The sequence below is a fragment of the Homo sapiens genome, chromosome X (assembly GCF_000001405.40).
Source record: "Homo sapiens chromosome X, GRCh38.p14 Primary Assembly".
Taxonomy (NCBI): Eukaryota; Metazoa; Chordata; class Mammalia; order Primates; family Hominidae; genus Homo; species Homo sapiens.
In genome coordinates this window covers 8,098,310-8,123,174 of record NC_000023.11, presented here as the reverse complement: position 1 = coordinate 8,123,174, position 24,865 = coordinate 8,098,310, and the positions used below count along the sequence as shown (strand labels likewise).

The 24,865-nt window shown below is 39.5% G+C and overlaps 1 long non-coding RNA gene across 4 annotated transcripts in view, besides 1 other annotated feature; it reads right to left on the bottom strand.

The window, feature by feature from the left end:
• The window catches only part of LOC107985675 (uncharacterized), a 528,885-nt gene that overhangs the window by 333,210 nt on the left and 170,810 nt on the right, over window positions 1-24,865 (bottom strand). The gene's annotated exons all lie outside the window — the stretch shown is intronic.
• Window positions 17,589-18,196: an enhancer, noted in NCBI's record as "OCT4-NANOG hESC enhancer chrX:8073020-8073627 (GRCh37/hg19 assembly coordinates)". NCBI's record gives its function as "activates a minimal SCP1, AML or CMV promoter by ChIP-STARR-seq in primed H9 embryonic stem cells {active_cell/tissue: H9 hESC(primed)}" and the evidence as "EXISTENCE:reporter gene assay evidence [ECO:0000049][PMID:30033119]".

Genomic DNA, 24,865 nt, shown 5'->3' with positions numbered 1-24,865 from the left:
GTGACTTTTATAATGCTTTTTGTTCTCTTTCTTTGTCAAACTTGGATTTTATTTTTCACCCTGAATTTAAAACAGATGAATTCAAATCAAACTAAAGTACATGCTTAAAGCCCTTATTTACACACACACACACACACACACACACACACACACACTTCTCCTCCTACCAACACACACATACACACAAAATACACTGGGATGCTTTAAATGAAAATTATGTTTCTTAAGAACAGGGATAGGATGCATAAGTGGTTTTATGGCAGTCACCAAAAAATAAAGTTAATCAAATTCAAATGTAAAATATACTTAAGATTAGTGAGTAATCTTAGTCTTCTCTTCTATGGTAATCTTAGCTAAATGATTCATATTTTCTTGAAACTACCCAAATGCATAAAAGGGAGGGCAGTCATAAACATGAGGCTGTTTATGGATTCAACAAAGACTCACTGACCTTCCAATATTGGAGATTAAGGGTGTGTCCGGAATTGGTGGGTTCTTGGTCTCACTGACTTCAAGAATGAAGCCGCCCACCCTCTTACAATTCTTAAAGGTGGCGTGTCCAGAGTTTGTTCCTTCTGATGTTCAGATGTGTTCGGAGTTTCTTCCTTCTGTTAGATTCGTGGTCTCGCTGGCTCAGGAGTGAAGCTGCAGACCTTCGCAGTGAGTGTTACAGCTCATAAAGGCAGTGCAGACCCAAAGAGTGAGCAGCAGCAAGATTTATTGCAAAGAGTGAAAGAACAAAGCTTCCACAGCGTGGAAAGGGAGCTGAGGGTGTTGCCACTGCTGACCAGGGCAGCCTGCTTTTATTCTCTTATCTGGCCCCACCTACATCCTGCTGATTGGTCCATTTTACAGAGAGCCGATTGTCTTGACAGGGTGCTGATTGGTGCATTTACAATCCCTGAGCTAGACACAAAAGTTCTCCATGTCCCCACTAGATTAGCTAGATACAGAGTGAGGACTGGTGCACTCACAAACCCTGAGCTAGACACAGGGTGCTGATTGGTGTGTTTACAAACCTTGAGCTAGATACAGAGTGCTGATTGGTGTATTTACAATCCCTTAGCTAGACATAAAGGTTCTCCAAGTCCCCACCAGACTCAGGAGCCCAGCTGGCTTCACCCAGTGGATCTGGCACTGGGCCGCAGGTGGAGCTGCCTGCCAGTCCCGTGCCCTGTGCCCACACTCCTCAGCCCTTGGGCGGTTGATGGGACTGGGCGTTGTGGAGCAGGGAGCAGCGCTCATCGTCGTTTGGGAGGCTCCAGCTGTGCAGGAGCCGATGGCTGAGGGGGATGGGGGAGGGGGGAGGGGATGGGGGAGGGGGAGGGGGGAGGGGAGGCGGGTGTGGGGGAGGCCCAGGCATGGCGGGCTGCAGGTCCTGAGCCCTGCCCTGTGGGGAGGCAGCTAAGGCCCAGTGAGAAATCGAGCACGGCAGCTGCTGGCCCAGGTGCTAAGCCCCTCACTGCCAGGGGCTTGCGGGCCGGCCAGCCTCTCCGAGTGCGGGGCCCGCTGACCCCACGCCCACCCGGAACTCGCGCTGGCCTGCAAGCCCTGCGTGCAGCCCCGGTTTCTGCCGGCGCCTCTCCCTCCACACCTCCCCGCAAGCTGAGGGAGCCGGCTCCGGCCTTGGCCAGCCCAGAAAGGGGCTCCCACAGTGCAGCAGTGGGCTGAAGAGCTCCTCAGGTGCGGCCAGAGTGGGCACCAAGGCCAAGGAGGCACCGAAAGCGAGCGAGGGCTGCCAGCACGCTGTCACCTCTCAAGGGAACCTATTAACATCAGCTTTCCCTTACCTGAATTTGGAAACAATCGAGAGATAGGGAGAGAAGTCAAGCAGCTGGAAATCAAAATTTACAATTTGTGCCTGGCAAATTGGGATTGAAAGATACAGATTCAATGTGCAGAAAAATGGACATCCTCATAGCCCCCCACCCCCATGAGACCTCTGCTTCCAGCTTCTCTGGGTGGGGAACGCCTCCCGATACGATGGTGAGGAAGAGGAGTCCACAATGCCTGCTCTCTTGGAAAAAGGCTGCATCCAAAAATGGAGGAAAGGAAAACTCTAAACAGACCCAATTTTCTACTTCAAAGTAATCAGCATGCACATTACTCTTCTTCTCAGACTCCGTGCCACAACAACTGTGTGACCACTCATCAGATACGGATGCTGTATCACAGCAGGGACAAGGAGATGTCAGAGAGAAGTGGCAGGGAAGAGACAATATGTCTGGCCTCCTCAGAGATCCCAAGGAGGCTGAGAGACTATTGTCTCTTTCCCATGATCAGTATGCCTAATAGTGACAGCATCAAGAGTTTAATTTGGGGTGAGGGTGGTGGCTCACACCAGTAATCTCAAAGCTTTGGGAGGCTGAGGCAGGAGGATGCTTTGAGCTTGGGAGGTCGAAGCTGCAGTGAGCTATGATCACACCACTGCACTGCAGCCTGGGTGACAGAGCGAGAACCAATGTCTAAAAAAACAAACAACAAAAAATGTTTAACTTGGCCCTTAAGGATGTGCCACATGTGCTATGTATGAGTGGGTGTTTCATAAGATCCAGGAATCCAAACATGGGTGCAGGAACACACACTGATGTACAAATGCAAGAATCTCTAATCATATTCAAAATCTTGATGTGCTTTTTCTCTCAAGGGTACATATCTTAGGAGATCTGTTTTCTAAAACTTGCAAATTGATGGAGATGTCAAGGCAGGTATGAGGCCCTTCCATGTGAACACGTTCACTACCTTTCCATTTTCACTTTGCCCTCTGAGCCCTGTGTTTCTGGAACGACATGGCTGCCTTTGGGATGGGTTCTGTATTGTGATGGGACCCCGCGTTGTGTGGCGAGTCCACCAGTTGAATCTTTTGTTGTTGCCTCTCACTATGCCGAGGCCTCAAAACCTGCCTGTTATGGACAGATTCTGCTTTCTTCCCATATTTCTTCAACTGGTGCACAGGCAGATTTATGGTACAGCTAAGCAAACCTGAAGCTCTGGTTTCACTTCTATAGTTGGGGCAAAACTGAACTAAAGGAGGCACTTGTTTGAGCACAAAATTTAAGAGCATGCCCAAAAGGAAAGTAACCTGAATAAGTATTATTTTAATGCATTATTTTAACAATCTGGCTGGGCACAGTGGCTCACGCCTGTAATCCCAGCACTTTGGGAGGCCGAGGTGGGCATATCTGAGGTCAGGAGTTCGAGACCAGCCTGGCCAACATGGTGAAACCCCGTCTCTACTAGAAATACAAAAATTAACTGGGCATGGTGGTGGGCACCTGTAATCCCAGCTACTCGGGAGGCTGAGGCAAGAAAATCTCTTGAACCCTGGAGATGGAGGTTGCAGTGAGCCAAGATCGTGCCACTGCACTCCAGCAGGGGCAACAGCCAGACTCTGTCTCAGAAAAAAATAAAAATAAAATAAAATAAAATCTAAATTAATGCAAGAAAGTCCCACAATGAACAAAATATTAAAATGTTAGGTAAGGACAGGAACCTTGCACTTGAGTGAATCACTTCACATGCCTAACTGGAATCCTGGCCAGGAGCGCTAATAATTGGTCCAGTTCACCTGGCCAATATTACTGCAATAATTACAAAAGTAAGAGACTTTCACTGCAATCAATTAAGACCTCTATGTGTCTTTGCTGTCAAAATCTCTCCCATTGTATTACCCTTCAAATTAGGTTGGGGAGGACTATCCAAGTACATTTTGAGAATCATGTTAAGAGTTGAATGAGTTGGGATAATATTTAATTTCCATTTAGTAGAACGTTTTTCTTGGATCTCAACATTTTTTCTATACTTAAGGTAATGCTAGTCAGCTATATAAGTTTCCTATTAAGGCTTGATATGGTTTGGCTCTGTATCCCCACCCAAATCTCATGTTGAATTGTAATCCCCAGTGTTGGAGGTGGGGCCTGGTGGGAGCTATTTGGATTGTGGGGGTGGTTTCTAATGGTTTAGCTCCATCCCCCCAGTGCTGTCTCATGAGTGAGTTCTCACGAGATCTGCTTGTTTAAAAGTATATAGCACCTCTCCTTTACTCTCTCTCTTCCTGCTTCCACCATGTAAGACATGTTGGCTTCCCCTTCACCTTCTGCCATGATTGAAAGTTTCCTGAGGACTCCCAGTCACGCTCCCTATACAACCTGTGGAACTGTGAGCCAATTAAACCTCTTTTCCTCATAAATTACCCGGTCTCAGGTAGTTATTTATAGCAACATGAGAACGAACTAATACACTGCTGTAACAAATGAACACAAATGTAGTGACTCCAAATAACACAAATTTCTTATCTTACAGTTCTGGATGTCAGAAGTCCAAATTGGGTTATCAAGGCTGACCTTCCTTCTAGAGGCTCTAGGGGAGAATCTGTTTCCTTGCCTTTTTCACCATCTAGTGACTTCCTGCATTCCTTGGCTTGTGCACCCATATCATTGCAATCTCATCTTTCACCCTTATGTCTCCTTCTCTGACCCTCTTATAAGGACCTTATGATTATATTGGACCCACCTGGATAATCCAGACTAGCCTCCCCATTTCAAGATTCCTAATCACATCTGCAAAGGCCCTTTTGCTGTGGAAGTTAGCATATTTGCAGGTTCTGAGGCCTAGGACAGGTGAACATATGGGGGGATGAACACTATTCTATCCACAGCAACATTCTAGAATAGGAGAGGCTTCCAGGAATCCTCTTGTCACCCACTGTGCTGACTTTCTTGGGGACATGACATGAAAGTGTGCTGCATCAACTCTACATGAAAATGTTCTATGGTTTCCAGCAAGTAGGTTTGAAATACAAAAGAAACAAGACTTGAAATGGATAAAACAAGAACCTAATCTGTGGAAGTTTCTTCTACTCTTATAGCACAGTTGAAAAAGAAATTTGCAACATGTTTTCCTAAATTTGACACAATCTCTGAAATTTAAATAACTTTACTCATAATGACTTTTGAAGATAAAATAAACTATTTAAAGCTATAAATAATTTTTTTTGGGGGGGGACAGAGTCTCACTCCGACACCCAGGCTGGAGTGCAATGGCGTGATCTTGGCTCACTGCAACCTCTGCCTCCTGTGTTCAAGCAATTCTCCTGCCTCAGCCTCCTGAGTAGCTGGGATTATAGGCACGCACCACCATACCCAACTTTTTTTTTTTTTTTTTTTTGTATTTTTAGTAGAGATGAGATTTTGCCATGTTGGCCAGCCTGGTCTCAAACTCCTGACGTCAGGTGATCCACCAGCCTCAGTCTCCCAAAGTGCTGGGATTACAGGCGTGAGCCACCACACCCAGCCATAAATTATTAAATGCTAGCAGCAAGAATTTTTGTTCAAGTCTCTTTATGAACAGTGGTACTATAAATGTTATTCTGTCATATGAAGAAGCAATAAAATGAAAAAGTATTACACAAGGAAGTTTAGCAGTTAATTAAGACATTATTGTCTCTTTTTTTCTGGATATTTGATGTTTCTGATATTTGTCAGATTTCTAAAATTTGCATTTTGTTGTGATTTCTTTTCCGAGTCTACATAGCTGTGCAATTTTCTTACTTCATTTTCTATATTTAAATTTGTAATATTTTCTGGCCGGGCGCAGTGGCTTATGCCTGTAATCCTAGCACTTTGGGAGGTTGAGGCAGGTGGATCACTTGAGATCAGGACTTAGAAACCAGGCTGGCCAACATGGTGAAACCCCGTATCTAGTAAAAATACAAAAATTAGCTGGGAGTGGTGGCGCATGCCTGTAATCCCAGTTACTAGGGAGGCTGACGCAGCAGAATCACTTGAATCCAGGAGGTGGAGGCTTCAGTGAGCCGAGATCCTGCCACTGCATTCCAGCCTGGGTGACACAGCGAGACTCCGTCTCAAAAAAAAAAAAAAATTAAAAATAAATTTGTAATAATTACATATTGTGGGCTCCAAAAGTTTTAGAGTTCAGCCCACCCAAACCTGGACTCAGGTTTCTTGTACTGCATACTGGAGAATCACCCTCAGCAGAAATCTAAATAAGCTCCAGTGATAATCATTTTTGAGCTATTTTGCTAGCAGTCTGTGGACAACTGCATCCTCTGTCTTGTTCTACTCATAACTGACTTTTTTCTGCATTTGAATGTTCTAAACCATGAGTAGCAATTCTTTGGGCTTTACCTTTTTCTCCATTAGTGGGATGAGATTCTAATGTTTTATTCTCCTCTACTCTTTCTATGTCCTTTCTGAAAAGTTGGCTGAGTTTTTAAAAGCTCAGCTTGCATGGAAATCAATCTTCCTTCAAGAAGGAACTATTATTAAGTGCTGAACTGGAGTTCCTTTATTCTCTTGTGCTTTCTGACCCAGCTTCCACCTGTCTAAGGTGTTCTAGAATGTATTTTTGAGGAGTTTTCCAGAGTTTCCACAGAAGCATGCATTCTGGAACTCTCCAGTTACTCCCTGGTTTCCTGAGCAAATCTGATTCCCAGAGAACTGTTCAGACAAAGACCTTTAATTTGCCTTATTCTGGTTTGCAATGACCAAGTTGACTAATTTCTCTTATTTCCTTCAATCAAGATGATAACATAGTCATTTTATAGAAATGACATGTCATTTCATTTCAATTCATGCATTCACTTATTAAAATCTACCACTCTGCCACAGGTCATGCTACAATTGGGTTTTGACACCTAGAGACATTTTATAAGCTGAAATAATATTCAAACCTAAAACTAACTTAGTCCATATGGTGCTGAGAGGCTTTTAATAACCTGAAGAAATAATTCAAGAGACTTTCCCTCCATACTTTACTTGGGTAACTGCAGTTAACAACTTCAAATGCAGTAGAGTTGATCAGCTATTTTTTATTCTTCTGCTAATGACCGCTTGTTATTAATAGTTTCTAAAAATAGCCAGGAGGAGGACATTGAATGTTCCCAACGCAACAAAAATGATAAATGTTTGAGATGATGGATATGCTAATTACTCCGATCTGATCACTATACATATGTACATAACATATATATCACTACGTACCCCATAAATATGTACAATTATCATATATCAATTAAAAAAATTAAGAAATCAAGACAAAAAAATAAATTTCAGGAAACCTTAAAGTTCACATATTTACGTGGTTCCAAACACAGACAGTCCCACAATTGAACTCAATGCAATTTCAAGTCCTGACAGGAGATCCTGACTATAAAACACCTTATTTTTTTAAAGAAAAAAAGGCAAAAGAGGCCAGATACAGGGGCTCACACCTATAATCCCAGTATTTTGGGAGGTCAAGGTGGGAAAATTGCTTGACACCAGCCTTGGCAACATAGGGAAACTCCATCTGTACAAGAAAAAAAAAAATCACTGAGCATGGCGGTGTGCATCTGTAGTCCCAGCTACTCAGGAAGCTGAGGCAGGAGGATCACTTGAGCCTGGGTGGTTGAGGTTGCAGTGGGCCTTGATCATGCCACTGCACTCCAGCCTGGGTAACAGAGCAAGATCCTGCCTCAATAAAAACAAACAAACAAGATTGCCAATTTTCACCCCGTAAGATCTGAGAATTCAGCATATTAAAAATATATATAATTTATTGGAATCAAGTCCTTTCTTCATATATGATGTCTTAGAAGTCTTCAAGCCTCCCAGTAGCTGTGGAGACATTTGTATGTTTAAGGCCTGTGTGATCCAATGTGAAGCTGCCTCCTCCTGCAACCCAAGACTCGCATCTTTGCTGAATCCCATACATGCATGCTCAGGCTAGTCTCTTTCTTCTTTTTCTCTGGAAGGTCTGCCTAAGGTAACCTGTCACTGTGAAAACATTTGTCTACGATCAGTATGACCAAAACTGGAGTGGCCCACCAAAGGGAAAAAAGTTCAACTCTAGCCAAGCCACTTGGTCATCCCAAGGCCTGAAGCCATGAGCCCAACCCCTACTCAAAACCTCCCTCAATTCTTCATGGTGTGGTCTCAAATTCCAATCCATGTCTATTCCTCAAGGCTCACAGATAAAGTGCTAGAATTTAGTATTTGAGCCTTCTCAAATCACACTTCTTTGTCTTCTGCAAAGCAGTTGGGGAAATGACTAAGAAACTATATATCTAAACTATATCTTCTAATCTAGCCTTCATCGGCAATAAAGGTTAACTATCACCTTTATGGCCGATGAAGGCTAGATTAGAAGATATGCATGGGATGCTTATCAATGATGGGCTAAAACCAAATCTGAGAAGGAGATTTCATTTCCCCACCCAAATAAGGGCAGTGCTATGTGATCCCACCCACCCCACATTATATGGGGATATGACCGTGTAAAACATAGATCACAGAGGATCAGATGAGAACACATGCTCTTGCTGGGTAGCCTGCATCCCGGAAGTGAAGGTTAAGAGGGAAGAAAGAGCTATGTACTCCAAACTGCTTGTCCCAAGCTCACAGTAGGTACGAGGAGTCTGTCCACCTGGGGGGCTAGTGAGTGCAAAGCAGAGTGACCAGGAGTTTTGTGCTAATAGGTGTTCTTGTGGAAATGCAAAGAGAGTGCACAGGAGACTCCATATTCCCACCAATGTCTCCTTGGTGCCTGGAATTATTCTTGGTGGTCACAAATGGGTTATATTTTCTACTGTTTACACATGTAAATTATTAAAATCCATCTCCAAATGTCAAGACAGGATGGGAAATTTCCAAAACCAAAATGCACAGTTAAAAATAAGTTTGAATTACCATTGTTAAAAAAAACTGTCCAAAACCATATAAATAAGTCATAAATTCACATCATAGAATCAAATTCACATCATAGACTCAACTGGGAATATACAAGAAACAAGAGATGCCAAATTGGCTAGACAACCACCATAATGACCTTTGAAATAAATACTACAGTCAACTTCTGAGACTTTTAGACACCAAAGAAGAAAAAATAAATCAGCCTAATATCAAAATTTAAAAACAAGAAAAGCAGTATCTTTGCTTATTGTATAAATAAATTATTCCCATTGGGCAAAATGAATGGATGCATTTTTCATTTAGCTAATGTTTGCTTGTTGTTAGATCACGCCAGTTACCAGAAAGTAACAAAATTCCTTTTATGACTCATCTTTAAAATTATTTGAAATTCACATTGGAAATCGTATGCCCATGATTACTTTCTATTTCAACAACCAGAAGTAAACAATGTACACAGCATCTCCACTAAAGAAAGTTTAACAAATCTGAAACTTATGCAGGGAGAAGCCCTCTTCCCACACCCTTTTACAGAAGAAGAAACTCAAAAAAATTACCCGTTTTCCCCAAAGGAACCTAAGGATCTCAGTAGATTTCAGTGGGAACTAGTTATTTCTACATAGACATTTTATTGCTATTGTGTCTTATCAATGACAGAATAAATCCAAATCCCAGAAGAATTTATTTTCCCACCCAATCAAGAGCGATGTTAAACCATCCCAGTCCCCGCATATTAAGTGGGAATGTGACCCTGTAAAACTTAGAGCATAGAGGGTCAGACTAGAACACATGCTCTCGCTAGGCACGCTGCCTCCAATAAGTGAAAGGAAAGAGGAAAAAAAAAAACCGGAGCATTGTACCCCCAATTCCTTGTGCCTGAAAAAATTGTGCCTCTGCCTCATACCTCAATTAAACCATTCCTCAGAGCAAGAACATGACACTCTGGCCATCATTCTACAACTTTGGTAGCGCTGTTGCCGAGCATTTGGAATTAACTCTTAGGCCTTTCATTCTGTTTCTGCTACACTAGTGGTTTCTGATTCTTTGGCCAAATGTATTGGCCTCCTTCAGCAAACTTTCAGCTATGCTGGCAGGATATGATTTCAAATCTAAAGTGAACCAGCTATTTGCTAAAGGTCAACAGTATTTGGTGGAATCAGCAGGATTTTCCCAACTTTTCCCAACAATTAGTCCAGTATTTTACAATAACTTTCTCAAAAATGTGTAGATTTCATGGTGTTGATTGAAATCACAGCATGCAACTCTGTAAGAAGTTAGTAAAACCAAGAGAAAGCATCATCATCTTCAAAAAATAAATATGGGTTATCATTATGGCATTTCATGCTGCTGTACACACTAAAATATTCCATTGCAAAGGTGTGATACTGGTCTTCCCAACACCATAGCGGACACCTCTGACTCAGGCACTACCATGCAGCATGTTCAAGTGAGCACTTGCACCACACGCTGAGGCTTCGAAATGGGGTGCCTAGCTTCACTCTGCCCTGAAATGGAACGAGGATCCTTGTTCTTTCCATACTAGACCCCACTGCGTACCAAGCCTGCCTAAAGGGTCTGAAAGCCAATGGGAATCTGGCTTAGAGTCATATAGGAAACCACCAAATGCCACACACACAAAATAAAACATGCCACACAAAATGCTAGGCTTTGCTTTACTTTGCTGCTGTTTTGTTTAGACTTGTATTCTTTCTCTTCCATAGAAACAAGTTCATGGGCCAGGCACAATGGCTCATGCCTGTAATCTCAGCACTTTGGGAGGCCAAGGCAAAAGGATCACTTGAGGCTAGAAGCTCGAGACCAGCCTGGCTGGCATAGTTTCTACAAAAAAAATTTAAAAATTATCCAGGCATGGTGGTGCACACAGGTAGTCTCAGCTACTTGGGAGGCTGAGGTGGGAGGATTGCTAGAGCTCTGAAGTTAGAGGCTGCAGTGAGCTATAGGGGCCCCATTGCACTCCAGGCTGGGCAACAAGTGAGACCCAACCTCTAAAAAAAATAAGAAAAGAAATAATTAAAATTAAAAGTAAAAATCAAAGAAATAAGTCCAAGTTCCCTGGATTGGAGACAGATTTGAATCAGGAAACATTAATTTACTGAGGACTACCCTCTCTTGAAAGACTATGGCTTTGAATTGGTCCCAATTTCTTTCTGATTTTTCCATTCTCTGAGGTTCCTATAGATCAGTCCATCATGCAACCTTGTTCCTGGAAAAGACCCCACTGCGTACCAAGCCTGCCTAAAGGGTCTGAAAGCCAATGGGAATCTGGCTTAGAGTCATATAGGAAACCACCAAATGCCACACACACAAAATAAAACACGCCACACAAAATACGAAAAGCTTTTTCAGCTGATGCATGCCGTAATTCGCTTGCACTTCTCCATTTTCCACTAGATATACATGGAAAATTTATGATCTCCAACAAACCTACTGGTTCTCAAAAACGTATGATGCATTCAGGTAAAATAGCTGTTACAAATTTAGAAAGGAATGCTCACCATTCAAGGACTTCCATCAGTGTGTGTCTTCTAATTATGACTGCTGAGCATTTTCCGTAATGGCATGCATTGATATTATACAGGCAACTATAAGAGATAATAAACTGGGTAGAAAGGAGAACTAAGCAGGGAGGTCAGAAAAATGGGCAGTGTTGAAAACTGAGAAGTGATGTTCTGCCAGTTAAAAAACAGAGGGAAAAAAAAATAAAACTCAGCCATCTCATTGCCATTTTGTGTGGGAACAAAAAGAAATTCGCCTCCTTATGACTCTGAATGTAAGCCTGTAATGGTATAGCTATCTGTCTGCCTATACGAAGACACACAGCAGAAGGGAAGAGCTGAAGTTCACAACATTGGCAGTCAAGCAAAGGGCTCCATAATAATCATTATACCCTGAAGGAGGGGATATACATCACTCTTGTTAAAAGATTTCCCATGACAACCAGTCTAACAGCTCATTTATTTGATCAATGAAAAAGTTACACTGGAGTTTAAGTTACCTGGAGAATTCAGTTGTGTGCCATCTCCTTACTCCTTGATGGAATGTAATAAATGCAATGCACTGAAAAACACCAATCTCAATCGATCATCCTGTCTAACTAAATACGAACTCATAATTCAAATTAATAAGAAATGCTGGAGTAGAAAACATGAACCCTGAAAGGTTTCTAAGTAGCATATTGGTAATCACTATTAGTCACTGCATATACCTCCCACTGTGCAGGTTAGTGTGATATGGAGGTCAGAGTATGCACTTGGAGATTACACAGAAATCTGCTGTAATGCAATCTCTGCCATTAACTAGTTGTGTGATTTTCTTGACATGTTAATAAGGCTTTACTGGGGCATAATTTGAATCCAACAAAATACAGGACTCTTACAGTAGAACTCAATCAATTCTGGCAAATGCTTCTACCAGGGCAGCCAACACTCAGATACAAATATTGGACATTTCAATTCCTTAAGATATTCCTTTACGCCCCTATCTATCCCATTCCTATACGTGAAGACATTTATTATGAGGAATTAGCTCATGGAATTATGGAGGCTAGAAGTTCCAAGATCTGCAGTCAGCAAGCTTGAGGCTCAGGAGAGCCCAGTTCAAGTTCAAGTCCAGGGAATTGAGAAAGCCAATGGTGTAATTTCTAGTCCACAAGGTGACAGGTTCAAGACCCCAAACAGCCAATATTTCACTGTGAGTCTGAACTCCAGAAACCAATGTTCCAGATCCACGTTCCAGCTCAGGTAGTGAGTCAGAAGGAGTTCCCTCTTACTCAGCCCTTGTGTTCTACTCAGGTCTTCAACTGACCAGATGAGGCCATACCTATAGCAAGGAGGACAATCTGCTTTACTCACTCTGTGGATCCAAATGAGAATCTCATCCAGAAACACCCTCACAGACATATGCAGAATCATGTTAGGCCAAATGTCTGGATGCCCTGTGGCTCAGTCAAGTTGACACATAAAATTAACCATCACAGTTACTTAACTTTGCTAAGTCACCATTTTTCCTTTTGTCTTTCATATCTGGAGCAGATTAAATAACAGGTCACATCTAAAATGGTGCATAATTGATGCTCCTTACACCATATGTAGAAATAAGAAAAATTAAAATTATTTGTTAGGATGTGTACTCTGTTCCTGTTTAGCTTAAATTTTTATACATTATGGCCTCAGTGCCCCAGTGAGTTCAATGTTTAAAGTTACCTTATGTCAGAGAAATAATGCACTTCACATTATTTACACCCCCCTCACCTGACTTCCAGAGAGCTCCTTGGAAATCACCCCTTAAAAATTAGGCAAATAAGAAGCAGAAACACAAATTTCATCTTTGGTAAAACGAAGGGAAAAATGTGTAACATCAAAATGCAATGTGTAATGAAAGGCTATCAGAGTAACTGTCAATAGGTGGTAGGAAGGTGCCTAGAGAAGGTATCTGCATCTGCAGGTCTCAGCTAAGTCAGCACAGGTCAGCTCCCCAAAACTGAAGGTCCTCCATGAAGGGCTAAAACAATGAGCTCTTGTTGAAATCAGTGCAGGCAGGATATGTCAAGTTGGATGCAAAAGTCTCCCTGGATGGGGACAAGCACCAACAAATACTAGGTGAGATGAGGCTGAATGAGAAATAAAATACCCACTCTGCAGCAGGCAGCCTATTGGTGAGGAAGAGAACAAGCCAAAAAACCCTATCTCTCGATGGCTTCCTAGAACAAAGCCTAACTATATACAGAGTTGGGGCTGAATTGGGTCAGAAAGAAATAAATTCTTATCTTGTTTGCACTACCATGTTTTTGGATCTCAGTTTTACAGCAATTTAGCTTATGTCCTAACCTCTATGGAAAATGATAACAGAAGTATGGTGCTAAATAACAATAACAATTACAACAAAAATGTGGCATTGCTTATATTAGGAGCAGGCAGCAAAGACACTGATATTTTAGGCTAGATACCTGATGACCTTAAAAACATTTGGTAAATTTGTCACATGTAGTAGACAAAAAATGTGGAGTATGTAATTTTTGCCATACATGAGCAGAAAAAGCCTGAAGGTTCTTGTGTTTACAAGTGGGCTGTAGACAGAATTGTTGCATGAAACTTCTGGGAGGCTGCTTTTACCAAGGCATTGCAAGAAATAGAATCCATGAATTCTCTACAGAAAGGACATTTCATTTGCAAATGGAAAGATAAAAAGGCAGCAGCCATGAAGCCATGTGAAGAGGTTTAGAGAAGCGTTTGCCAGAAGAGGGAACACTGTCTACAAAGGATGCTGAGCAGTGAGAGGCTTAGTGTATTCAGATACAAAGGAAGATAGTGTTGTTGGTGCATAGAGAATGAGGGGTAAGATTGAAAAGGAAGGAAAGGAGGAAGGAGGGAGGCAGGGAGGACTGCTTCACACAGAGCTTTGAGGTTCTATGAATCAGCAGACAATATATGTACATAAGATGACAGTTTGGCTATGAGAGGTTTGAAGTAGAAAAATCACGTAAGTGTGTTCTCGTGGCAAGTAACAGAAATTCTCATAATGGCCACATTTTATAGGGCCTTAAATATTACCTGTTACAATATCTGACCAACAGAAGTTTTGAGCAGAGTTGAATCTAGGAAGATAACCCCATTCGTTGTATAATGAGGGGGGTGAAGGTGGAACACAATATGAGCTAGGAAGCTACTGCCAAAGTCTAATGAAAAGATTAGCCTATGGGTAAGGAGAAGGAAAAGAGTGATCACTACAAGATGCACTTAGCGGGAAGACTCTTTTGGACTTGGTGAATAAGTGGAGAAGAGAGGTCAAGGAGAAAAATGGTCAGAAGTTACTCCAAAATATTATATGTGCATCAATGGGAAATAAATGATGGGTCTCACAGTGCTCAAAGCAAAATCAGCTTAGAGCAGAAAAAAAAAATTGCAACGAAGAAGAGACTTTTTATTCCCCCTAATATGGTTTGGCTGTGTCCCCACCTACATCTCAACTTGAATTGTAACTCCCACAGTTCCCATGTGTTGTGGGAGGAACTTGGTGGGAGGTAATTGAATCATGGGGACAGGTCTTTCCCATGCTGTACTCATGATAGTGAGTAAGTGTCATGAGATCTGATGGTTTTAAAAATGGGAGTTTCCCTGCACAAGCTCTCTCTTTTTGCCTGCTGCCATCCATGTAAGACATGATTTGCTCCTCCTTGCCTTCCACCATGATTGTGAGGCTTCCCAGCCATGTGGAACTGTAAGTCCATTAAACCTTTTTCCTATATAAATTACCCAGTCTTAGGTATGTCTTTATTAGCAGCATGAAAACAGACTAATACACCCCCTTCTTAATTAAGGTTTATAGAAGTAATAACAGCTTATGCAAGGTCCATCATGATCAATCAGTACCTGGCCATTACCAGTGTTTACAATGGCCCTGACACCAAGTAGTTTCTTTCAATTGTCTCAAGGCAACCAGAAAAGAAGAGAGGCAATCCGAGTATATAGGTGCTGTGTTTATACTGGTGAACAATACATGACCCAATCACATGTTGTTTGAATGAACTCTAATAGTCTAAAAAGAGGAAACCATGCTTCTGTGGCTGGAGGAATCAATCCACATGTATTATTTCTTCTAGAAAATATCAACCACTATTGTAGGCACCACCATCATTATTATCATATGTAATAAAAGGTCAGCAGAAATGAGAGTCTAGAACATTATGGGACATCGTGCCCTGGAAGCATTCACCACTGTCTCTCAGCAGGACAGCCCTGGCAGCACATCACACCAAGATTCTATAAGGAGCCCAGGCTACAACACAAGGGAGCCTGCTCATTTTTGGCAGCTGGAGTAGACAGTCTGCCTGCAACTGAGCTTCCAGAGCCAAACCCAACTAAAGGCTTATAGAACAAAGAGACACATGACACAAATATGAAATCTGACCTGATAGCCCACCCTGAGAGGGGCTAAATTTCAGCAGCCCCACCTCTCCTGCTAAATTAAGTAAAAACAGCAAGGCAGGGCTACTTCAGTTGATGTGTCCCCACAAATTGCTAGGCTATGGAAATACTCCCACTATTTACAGCCAGCGTGATCTGCAATCCACCTCCTCAGGCAGTCACACATTCCTGTGCATGTGTGACAAAAGTTAACTTAGAAGAGCCAGGTGTAAATGCTTTATAGGAGACCACAGACTTTCTCAAACATGTGCATTGCTTTGATGTCCTGCAAAGGGAAAGGCATGCTAAGAAAAATAAACCTGTCAGAAAAGGACAAATGCTGTACTTGTATGATTCCACTCATATTAGGTACTTCAAGACATTAAATTCACAGAGTCAGAAAGCAGAATGATATTTGCCAGGGCTGGAGAGAGGGGAGAATCAGAAGGTAGTATTTAATGGGTATAGAGTTTCAATTTGGGAAGATGAAAAAAGTTCTAGAGATGGATGCTAGTGATAGTTGCACAGTAATATGAATGTACTTAATACCACTGAACTGTACACTTAAAAATAGTTATAATGGTAGATTTTATGTCATGTATATGTTCTACAATTTTGTAAAATAAATCAAACATCAAAAAATGATAAAAGAAACAGTCTCCTTGACTTCTAGTGTTGACTTAAATTACCTTCTTGATATGTACATATGTATAAATATATATATCTACATCTATCTATATATAATGTGTATATATTTGTATCTCTATATAATGTATATATATTTGTATTTCTATATAATGTATATGTAGATACATTTATATACATAATGTATATATGTAGATGCATTTACATACATAATGTATATATGTAGATACATTTATATACATAATATATATAGATACAAATACAAATGATTAACTCATAGATCTTTAGCTTTTATAAGACAATGAAATCAAAGCAATTTTGTCAGTTAAAAGCAAACAAAACTACAGAGCAATAAAATCTAAATTAGCAGTAATTGAACGTGATGGAAGCTGCTGCTTTGCTGAGACTAAATGGTTGCTCAGAACATAATTGTGGAAGCAGCTACCGCATGCAAGTGTTCTGATTCTGGCATAGCCAACAGCAGAGTGATGCACAAAACCATCAGGGCCACCTCTGCTCATCATACACGCAGTGAAGTTCACCCAAGCAACCTGGGTTGAGGCCATTTGGTGTTCACAAAAATAAATGCATCATTTATGTACCTGGACAGGGTAGGGGAGAAAATAATACCTTCTTTCTCTACTCATCTTAGGAACTCTGGGTGGGGCCCTGTAAAATGAACTGGCAAAAGACAGATTAACAAGAGAAAAACAAAAGTTCATTACCACATGCCTTGTGCATGCGTTAACAGAAAAAGAAAACACTAATATGTTTTAAAGATGTTTATTCTGCACCAATGAGTGAATTCAGTCCAAGGAAACACAGTCTCAAGGAATCCTGAGAAAAACCCGGGAGGCAGGGTAACAGTTTGGTTTTATATTAGGTTGATGCAAAAGTAATCATGATTTTTGCAGTTACCTTCAATGGCGAAAAGTACAATTACTTTTGCACCAACCTAACACTTCAGGGAGACATAAATTAAAGGGAAAAATATAAATCAGTACATAGAAGGTATACATTGTTCCAGCCCCAAAAGGTGAGATAGCTTACAGAGGGGGCTTACAGATCATAGGTGGATTCAGAGATTCTTTAATTTGTAATTGGTTAAAGAGCAAGGCTCTGTCTCAAACTTGGAGTCAGCAGAAAGGCATCTTTAAGATAAGGATGCTGTGTAGCAAGGTTGATGCCCTACAGGCATGACTTAACCATTGTCTGGCCTGGCCATAGGTCTTATTTATAATTTGGTATCTTACTGCCACAATGAGTCTGCTTTGTCAGTCTTATGATGTCTATTTTAATATCAGTCCTGGTCAGTTGCTGTGCCTAAACTCCAAAATGGAGGGGTTATGATGAGGTGTGTTGACTCCCCTTCCTGTCATGGCCAGTAATTCAGTTTTTAAGGTTTTGCTGGGGTCCTCTTGGCCAAAAGGGGTTCATTCAATTGGTGGCGCATTTAGGATTGTATTTCTAGTTTACACATGTATACATGGGAGCAGACAAGGATGATTAACTCTAAGGTGTGGTCGGATTTGGGCTGATATAACATCTTAGGCTAAACAAAACAAACAGGACTTTGGGTTTCCCAGTGGGGGAGGCAAGTTGTGGAAAGATGACCAGGTAAAGTGTAGTAAGCAAGGGTTGATTAGTAAGGCTTCTCATGCAGATTTAAATCATTTAAATAACAGTTGTTTAGAATTATTCTCTTGCTGGCCGGGAGCAGCGGCTCATACCTGTAATCCCAGCACTCTGGGAGACTGAGGCTGGGCAGATCGCGAGGTTAAAAGATCGAGACCATCCTGACCAACATGGTGGAACCCTATCTCTACTAAAAATACAAAAATTAGCTGGGCATGGTGGCACGCGCCTGTACTCCCAGCTACTCAGGAGACTGAGGCAGGAGAATAGCTTGAACCTGAGAGGCAGAAGTTGCATTGAGCCAAGATCGTGCGACACTGCACTCCAGCCTGGCTACGGAGTGAGACTCCATCTCAAAAAAAAAAAAGAATTATTCTCTTGCTGATAGTTGGAGAAGGAGATATCTTTGACAAATGGATATTTTCTTTACCCATGTAAATTTACATATGAAACAAAATCTTGTGCCCTGTTTCTAAAGGTTTTCCTGTGTCTGCTGATTCTCAATGATCTTTAGCTCAAAATAATCCATATATCAAAGAGGCATATTTTGAGGTGGCATATTCTGGCACCCCTCATCCATGGTTCTTTTTTTTACTACCTTCAACAATTAAAGGGCATTATTTGGCACCAAACAATTGGAAACACAGACAAAGGTAGCAGACCTCATAATGGGTCACATGGAAAGTTAGCCATCTTGATGATGCAGGGCATGCTTCATTATTTATTAGATTACCACCAAATGAAGAAGAAAAATAACAAGGAAAAATATAGTAGGCAATCAGTCAAATACCAAAAAATTGCCTGTAGACCCTCAGGTTGGGTTCAATGACACTGGGTCCAATATTGAACTACTTTCATATTTCTTTCAAGAATATGTTCAGGCGGGTTCAGAGGTAAAGTGATATTCAATCACGGTATGGTCATTAGAAAAAATCTTAATTTCTATAGTATGATTTTCCCTCTTGAAAAAAGAATCCAATTATGTCTAAGATCCATTCTATCTTTAAAACTCTATTTTTAGTAGAGTAGGTTTTTTGGCTGGCACAACCATCCATTAAGTATAATAGAATTATAATTGCAATAAAATGATTTTTATAAAACAACTTTAGCACCACACACTGTTACAGCATAAATTAAACCATTGTGAAACGGACATTGATATGTATTGCATAAAAATGTTTTACTTTGAGTCTTCTTCACAGCCAACCATAAATATACTTTTTGTACTTTCTTTAGCACAACTTAAAACAAAGCTACAGTATCCCTGTTAGGGCAGTCCTGAACTTAACAAACCAGCTGTACTTCTGCTACACATTTCCTGTGGGTGCTGAAGGTTTTCTAAAAATTATAAATGCCAGGGATCTGTAAATATTTTCCGTAAAGAGTCAGATAGTAAACGTATTTGGCTTTGCAAGCCACGTGGTCACGGTCGGAGCTACTCAACTTGCCACTAGCACAAAAGCAGCCACAGATGATACACAAATCAATAACCTGGGATATGATCCAATAAAACTTTATTTACAAAAACAGGAATCAAACTGAATTTGGCAACGGGCTGCCAATTGCTGACATCTGGCATATTCAAAAGACTGAACATGATAGCATAAATATGAGAGTGAATAATTACTGTATTGTTATTTCAACATGAGAACAAATTCAAAATGTGTAGACAAAGAGATGAAACTGACAATTTTTTTCTCCAATGGAGCAAGTGTCTTTTGCATTTCCATTTCTCTTACCAGTGGACTCTTGTAAGATGCAGTGATTTTGTGTGAATCTATCTTTTTTTTTTTTTGTCACATCCTTTGCAATAAGAAACTACTGTAGGGGCAAAAGGAATTTTCCCTTCCCTCTAAAGTGCTAAACAACTGACAATATACAGATTAATAAGAGAAAAGGCATACACATGTATTAATGTATATAAGCATGGGAGCCATATAAAATATAAGACTCAAAGAAGGGCCAGATGGTTGAGGCTTAAATATCCTATTTATGAGGAGACAGAAATGGGAGGTGTAGGCAATTTTGAGGAGTAGTAAATAATAATTTTGGGGAATTGAATGAGCCCAAAGAGCAGAAAATAGTTTGTAAATGATTGTCTTTGGAAGCTAAATGGGACCTATAAGTTATGACAGAAGGTGTGGGGTAGAAATCCACTGTGAACAAAGATTGTTTTATTATGCAGATAAAGTTTCTTAGGTAATCTCTACGAGCTGCCCTCTGAAAAACAGAGGAAAAGTCTGTCTGGGCATGGTGACTACATTTAGTTTTTTCTCTTCTCCAGTATTAAACTTTCCCAGTTAGTTGATGAGATTCCTAGGGAAGGCATCTTAAGACAACTGCATTTCTTTCAGAAGAAGTTTTCCTCAGTCAGAGGAAGGAACTTCCAGAGAGAACCCCTCCCTGCGCTTGAGGATGTGGGGAGAAACAAGGGAGGGTTAGAAAGTCCTTGGTTCTAAGGCAGCTTCTAAGGCCTTCCAATTTCCTTTATTTCAAAAATGTTCAGCATGCCAAAGCACCTCATACTTTGGGGTATTATTCTCTGCACCCCAACACTACCTTTGACTTATGAAGCAATTAGCTCAGTAATTATCAAGGAAATTGTGTTGAATCTCTAGATCAATTTTGGAAGAACTGACATTGAGTCATTCTATCCATGAATATGGAATATCATTCCATTTATTTAGACTTTTTATTTTCATTAGAGTTTTGTATTTTTCTTGTGTAGCTCTTATACATATTTTGTTAGGTTTTTTTCCTAAATATTTCACTTTTGTGGTGCTAATTAGGTTTTTAATTCCAAATTTCAATAATTCCAATAATTATTGTTGGCCTATAGGAAACTGACTGGCTTTTGCATTTTAACCTTGTAGTCTGTGGCCTTGCCGTAACTTATTAGTTACAAGATTACATTGATTTTGAGATTTTATACATAAATAATCATATCATTTGTGAAGAAAGACAGTTTTATTTCTTCCCCCTTAATCTGTACATGTTATATTTCCTCTCCTTGTATTATTGCATTAACTAGAACTTCCATTACATTGTTGAATAGAAGAGGAGGCATCTTGCTTGCTTCTTGATCTTAAGAGTAAATATATTTTCTCGCCATTAAGCATGATGTTAGCTAAAGGTTTTTCTTTAAGATACCCTTTATCAACTTGAGAAAGTTCCCTTCTATTCCTAGTTTGCTGAGGATATTTATCCCAAATGGGTTTTGGATTTTGTCAATTTTTGTGCATATATTGATATAATCATATGATATTTTTCTTTTCATTAATGAATTTTTAAATGTTGAGCCACTCTTGTATACCTGGAATAAGTTCCATTTGGTAATCACGATGTATAATTCTGTTAATACATTATTGGATTCAATTTCCTAATACTGGATTCAATTTTCTAATATTTTGTTTAGAAATTTCTGTATCTATGTCTTTGAAAAATATAGGCATCTGTTTTTCTTTTCTTGTAATGTCTTTACTTGGTTTTGGTGTCAGGATAATGGTGGCCTCAGAGAATGAGTTAAGAAGATTTCTTCTGTTTGCCTTTTTTTAAACAGACTGTAGAAAATTGAAATATTTCTTCTTTAAATGTTGAGTAGAATTCAACTGTGAACACTTGGAAACCAGTAATTTTGGGGAAGTTATTATTGATTCAACTACTTTTATATATATATAAGCCTATTCAAATTATCTATTTCTCTTTGTACAGGTTTTGGTAGATTTTGCCTTTCAAGGAGTTGGCCTATTTTATCCAAATTACCAAATTTGTGGGCATAGAGTTGTTCATAATATTCCTTCATTATCCTTTTAATGTCTGTGGAGTTAGTAGTAATTCTTTCCTTTCATTTCTGACATTGATAATTTGTGTCTTCTTTGTGTTTTCGTTGGTTAGACTAGCTAGAAGCTTATCAATTGTATTGATCCATTCAAAGAACCAGCTTTTGCCTTCATTTGGTTTTCTCTATTTTTCTTAAATTTTAATTTCATTGTGTTCTGCTCTCATTTTTTATGATCTTTTTTCTTCTGCTTTTTTTTTAAGTTTCGTAAAATAGAGCTTCAGCTACTCGAGTCTTTCTTCTTTTCTAATATATGTTTTTTTTTTGTTTTTTTTTTTTTTTTGAGACAGAGTCTTGCTCTGTCGCCCAGGCTGGAGTGCAGTGGCGCGATCGCGGCTCACCGCAACCTCCACCTCCAGGGTTCAAGTGATTCTCCTGCCTCAGCCTCCCGAGTAGCTGGGATTATAGGCACGCACCACTGTGCCCAGCTAATTTTTGTATTTTTAGTAGAGACGAGGTTTCACCATATTGACCAGGCTGGTCTCAAACTCCTGGCCTTGTGATCTGTCTGCTTCAGCCTCCCAAAGCGCTGGGATTACAGGCATGAGTCACCACGCCTGGTCTAATATATGTATTTCAATGCTATGATTTTTCCCTATAAATAGTGCTTTTGCTATATATCAAAAATTTTGATGTTTTACTTTCACTTTCGTATACTTAAAAGTATTTTTAAATTTCTCTTCAGACTTCTTTTTTGAGCCATGTGTTATTTACCAGTGTGGTGTTTAATCTGCAAATATTTTGATATTTTTCAGCTTTCAGATTTTGTCTCATGTATTGTGAGTCAGGTCCACATACATTAAACATGTTATGCCTCCTTGACGAATTGGCCACTTTATCTTAATGTAACATTCTTCTTCATCACTGATAATTTTTCTTTCTCTGAAATCTGTTCTGTCTGTAATTAATGTATAGCTAGCTACTCCTGCTTTCTTTTGATTAGTATTAGCATATCATTCTCTGTCCCTTTATTTTCAATCTGTCTCTATATTTAAAATGGGTTTTGTAGACACCATATGGTTGGATCTTCTTTTTTTAAAACCCATTCTGACAGTGTCTGAATTTAATTGCTGTATCTAGACCATTTGCATTTAAAACAACTAAGGATATAGTGAGATTAAAATCTACCAAGTTCGTAACTGTTTTGCATCTGTAGTACTTGTTTTTTGTTGTTGTTTCTAATCCTCCCTCATTTTCTCTCTTCTCTGGTTTAAACTGAGCATTTTATATATGTCCATTTTTCTCTCCTCTCTGAACATATCAATTTTTCTTTTTCTTTTTTCTTTTTTTTTTTTTTGAGAGGGAGTTTTGCTCTTGTTGTCCAGGCTGGAGAGCAATGGTGTGATCTCGGCTCACCACAACCTCTGCCTGCCGGGTTCAAGGGATTCTATTGACTCAGCCTCCTGAGTAGCTGGGATTACAGGCATGTGCCCCCACGCCCGGCTAATTTTGTATTTTCAGTAGAGACAGGGTTTCCCCATGTTGGTCAGGCTGGTCTTGATCTCCCGACCTCAGGTGATCCACCTGCCTTGGCCTTCCAAAGTGCTGGGATTACAGGCGTGAGCCACTGCACCCAGCCCAATTATTCTTCTTTTTAAACAACTGCAGTGGTTGACCATGAATTTATACCAGAGTTACACTAATCTAAATATACCTGAAAATCATATTATCCCATTTCATGGGTAGTTCAGAAGAGGATTTGCAATTCCTTCCTCCCTTCCTTTATAATATTGCTATCATTTGTTTCACTTACCCATAAGCTATGATAATCTAATATACTGTTGATATTATTATTTTGAACAGTTATCTATTGAATCAATTAAGAGTAATTTCAAAGTTAATTTTACCTTCAATTATTTCTCCTCTAATGTTCTTTCTTTTTATATTAATAGATCCATAATTTCAGTTGTATATTAAATTATATTAGGTGTATATTGTAACCTTTTAGGTGTATATTACACGCATATATAAGCAAACACAGAAAAATAAAACACATATGTGAAACTTCAAAATCCATTCCAACAATCTATATTTTTCTATATAAAGAACATATTTCATTATATATGTATTTATTCCTGGGAATGAGTAAAATTGCACTATAATGCAGTCAGAATTTTAAAAATCAAGTATACGAATTGGGTGTGGTAGGAGCATGTTATTCAGAGCTTAAATGAGGTAAGCTCATTTGTCCCAGGCAAGCATGAGTGAACTAGACTTCGGTAAAAGCATCTATGACTTCAACTCCTGTGAGTTGCAATTACCAGATGGTACTTATCTACTGCAGATTAATTAACAGTGCTGGAATTTCTGGATCAAGTGACTGGCTGACATAGTAGCATTGATTCCAGGAGGCACACAATAGATTGGTCCCCAATTGATTAGTAAAACAATAGATGATTGGACCATGAGAATATTGGGTATTTAGAGGCCTATGCAGTTTCCTGTTATTTTCCTGTCCCCAATTTTCCACCATAAAAATGTATGTCTCAGGACATATTTATTATGTATATAGTTATGTTTTTACTAAGTATAATTTAAAAATATATAATTCTAAATAAGTCACAGGAAAACGTTAACATATAAGAACATGTTGTTTTAGGAATTAGAAAAAATTTAATTTTCGGTTTATATCCATATATGATTTCAGAGGGATATTGATATCATAAAAACATTTTCAAAATATTTATTATATTAAAATGAACATTCTTCGACAAAAGTAAAAGGAAATATTAATTCAAGAAGGAAAGAATAATAATGTCAAATGGCCAAATGCTAAAGGAGACTTTGGTCATCTACATGGATAACAGTTTCAAGTTACTATCATATGAAGGTATAATTGAATACATCTATAGGCGTATGAAATAATTTAGATGCCAACTAAAAAGTATGCCAGTGAATAATAAAATAATTTTTCAGACCAATATCAGCTATAAATATTGGTGATTAAATACTAAATAAAATACTATCAAACGTAATCCAACGCCACATTAAGAAAATAATATGCCATGGCCAAGTAGGATTCATTCCATAAATGCAAGCATGGATGCAAAATATCTCCACTGCTATTTAATCTTAAACTAGAAGTGTTTGCTATTGAAAGCAGAACAAATAAGCCAACTATAGGTATAAAAATTAAA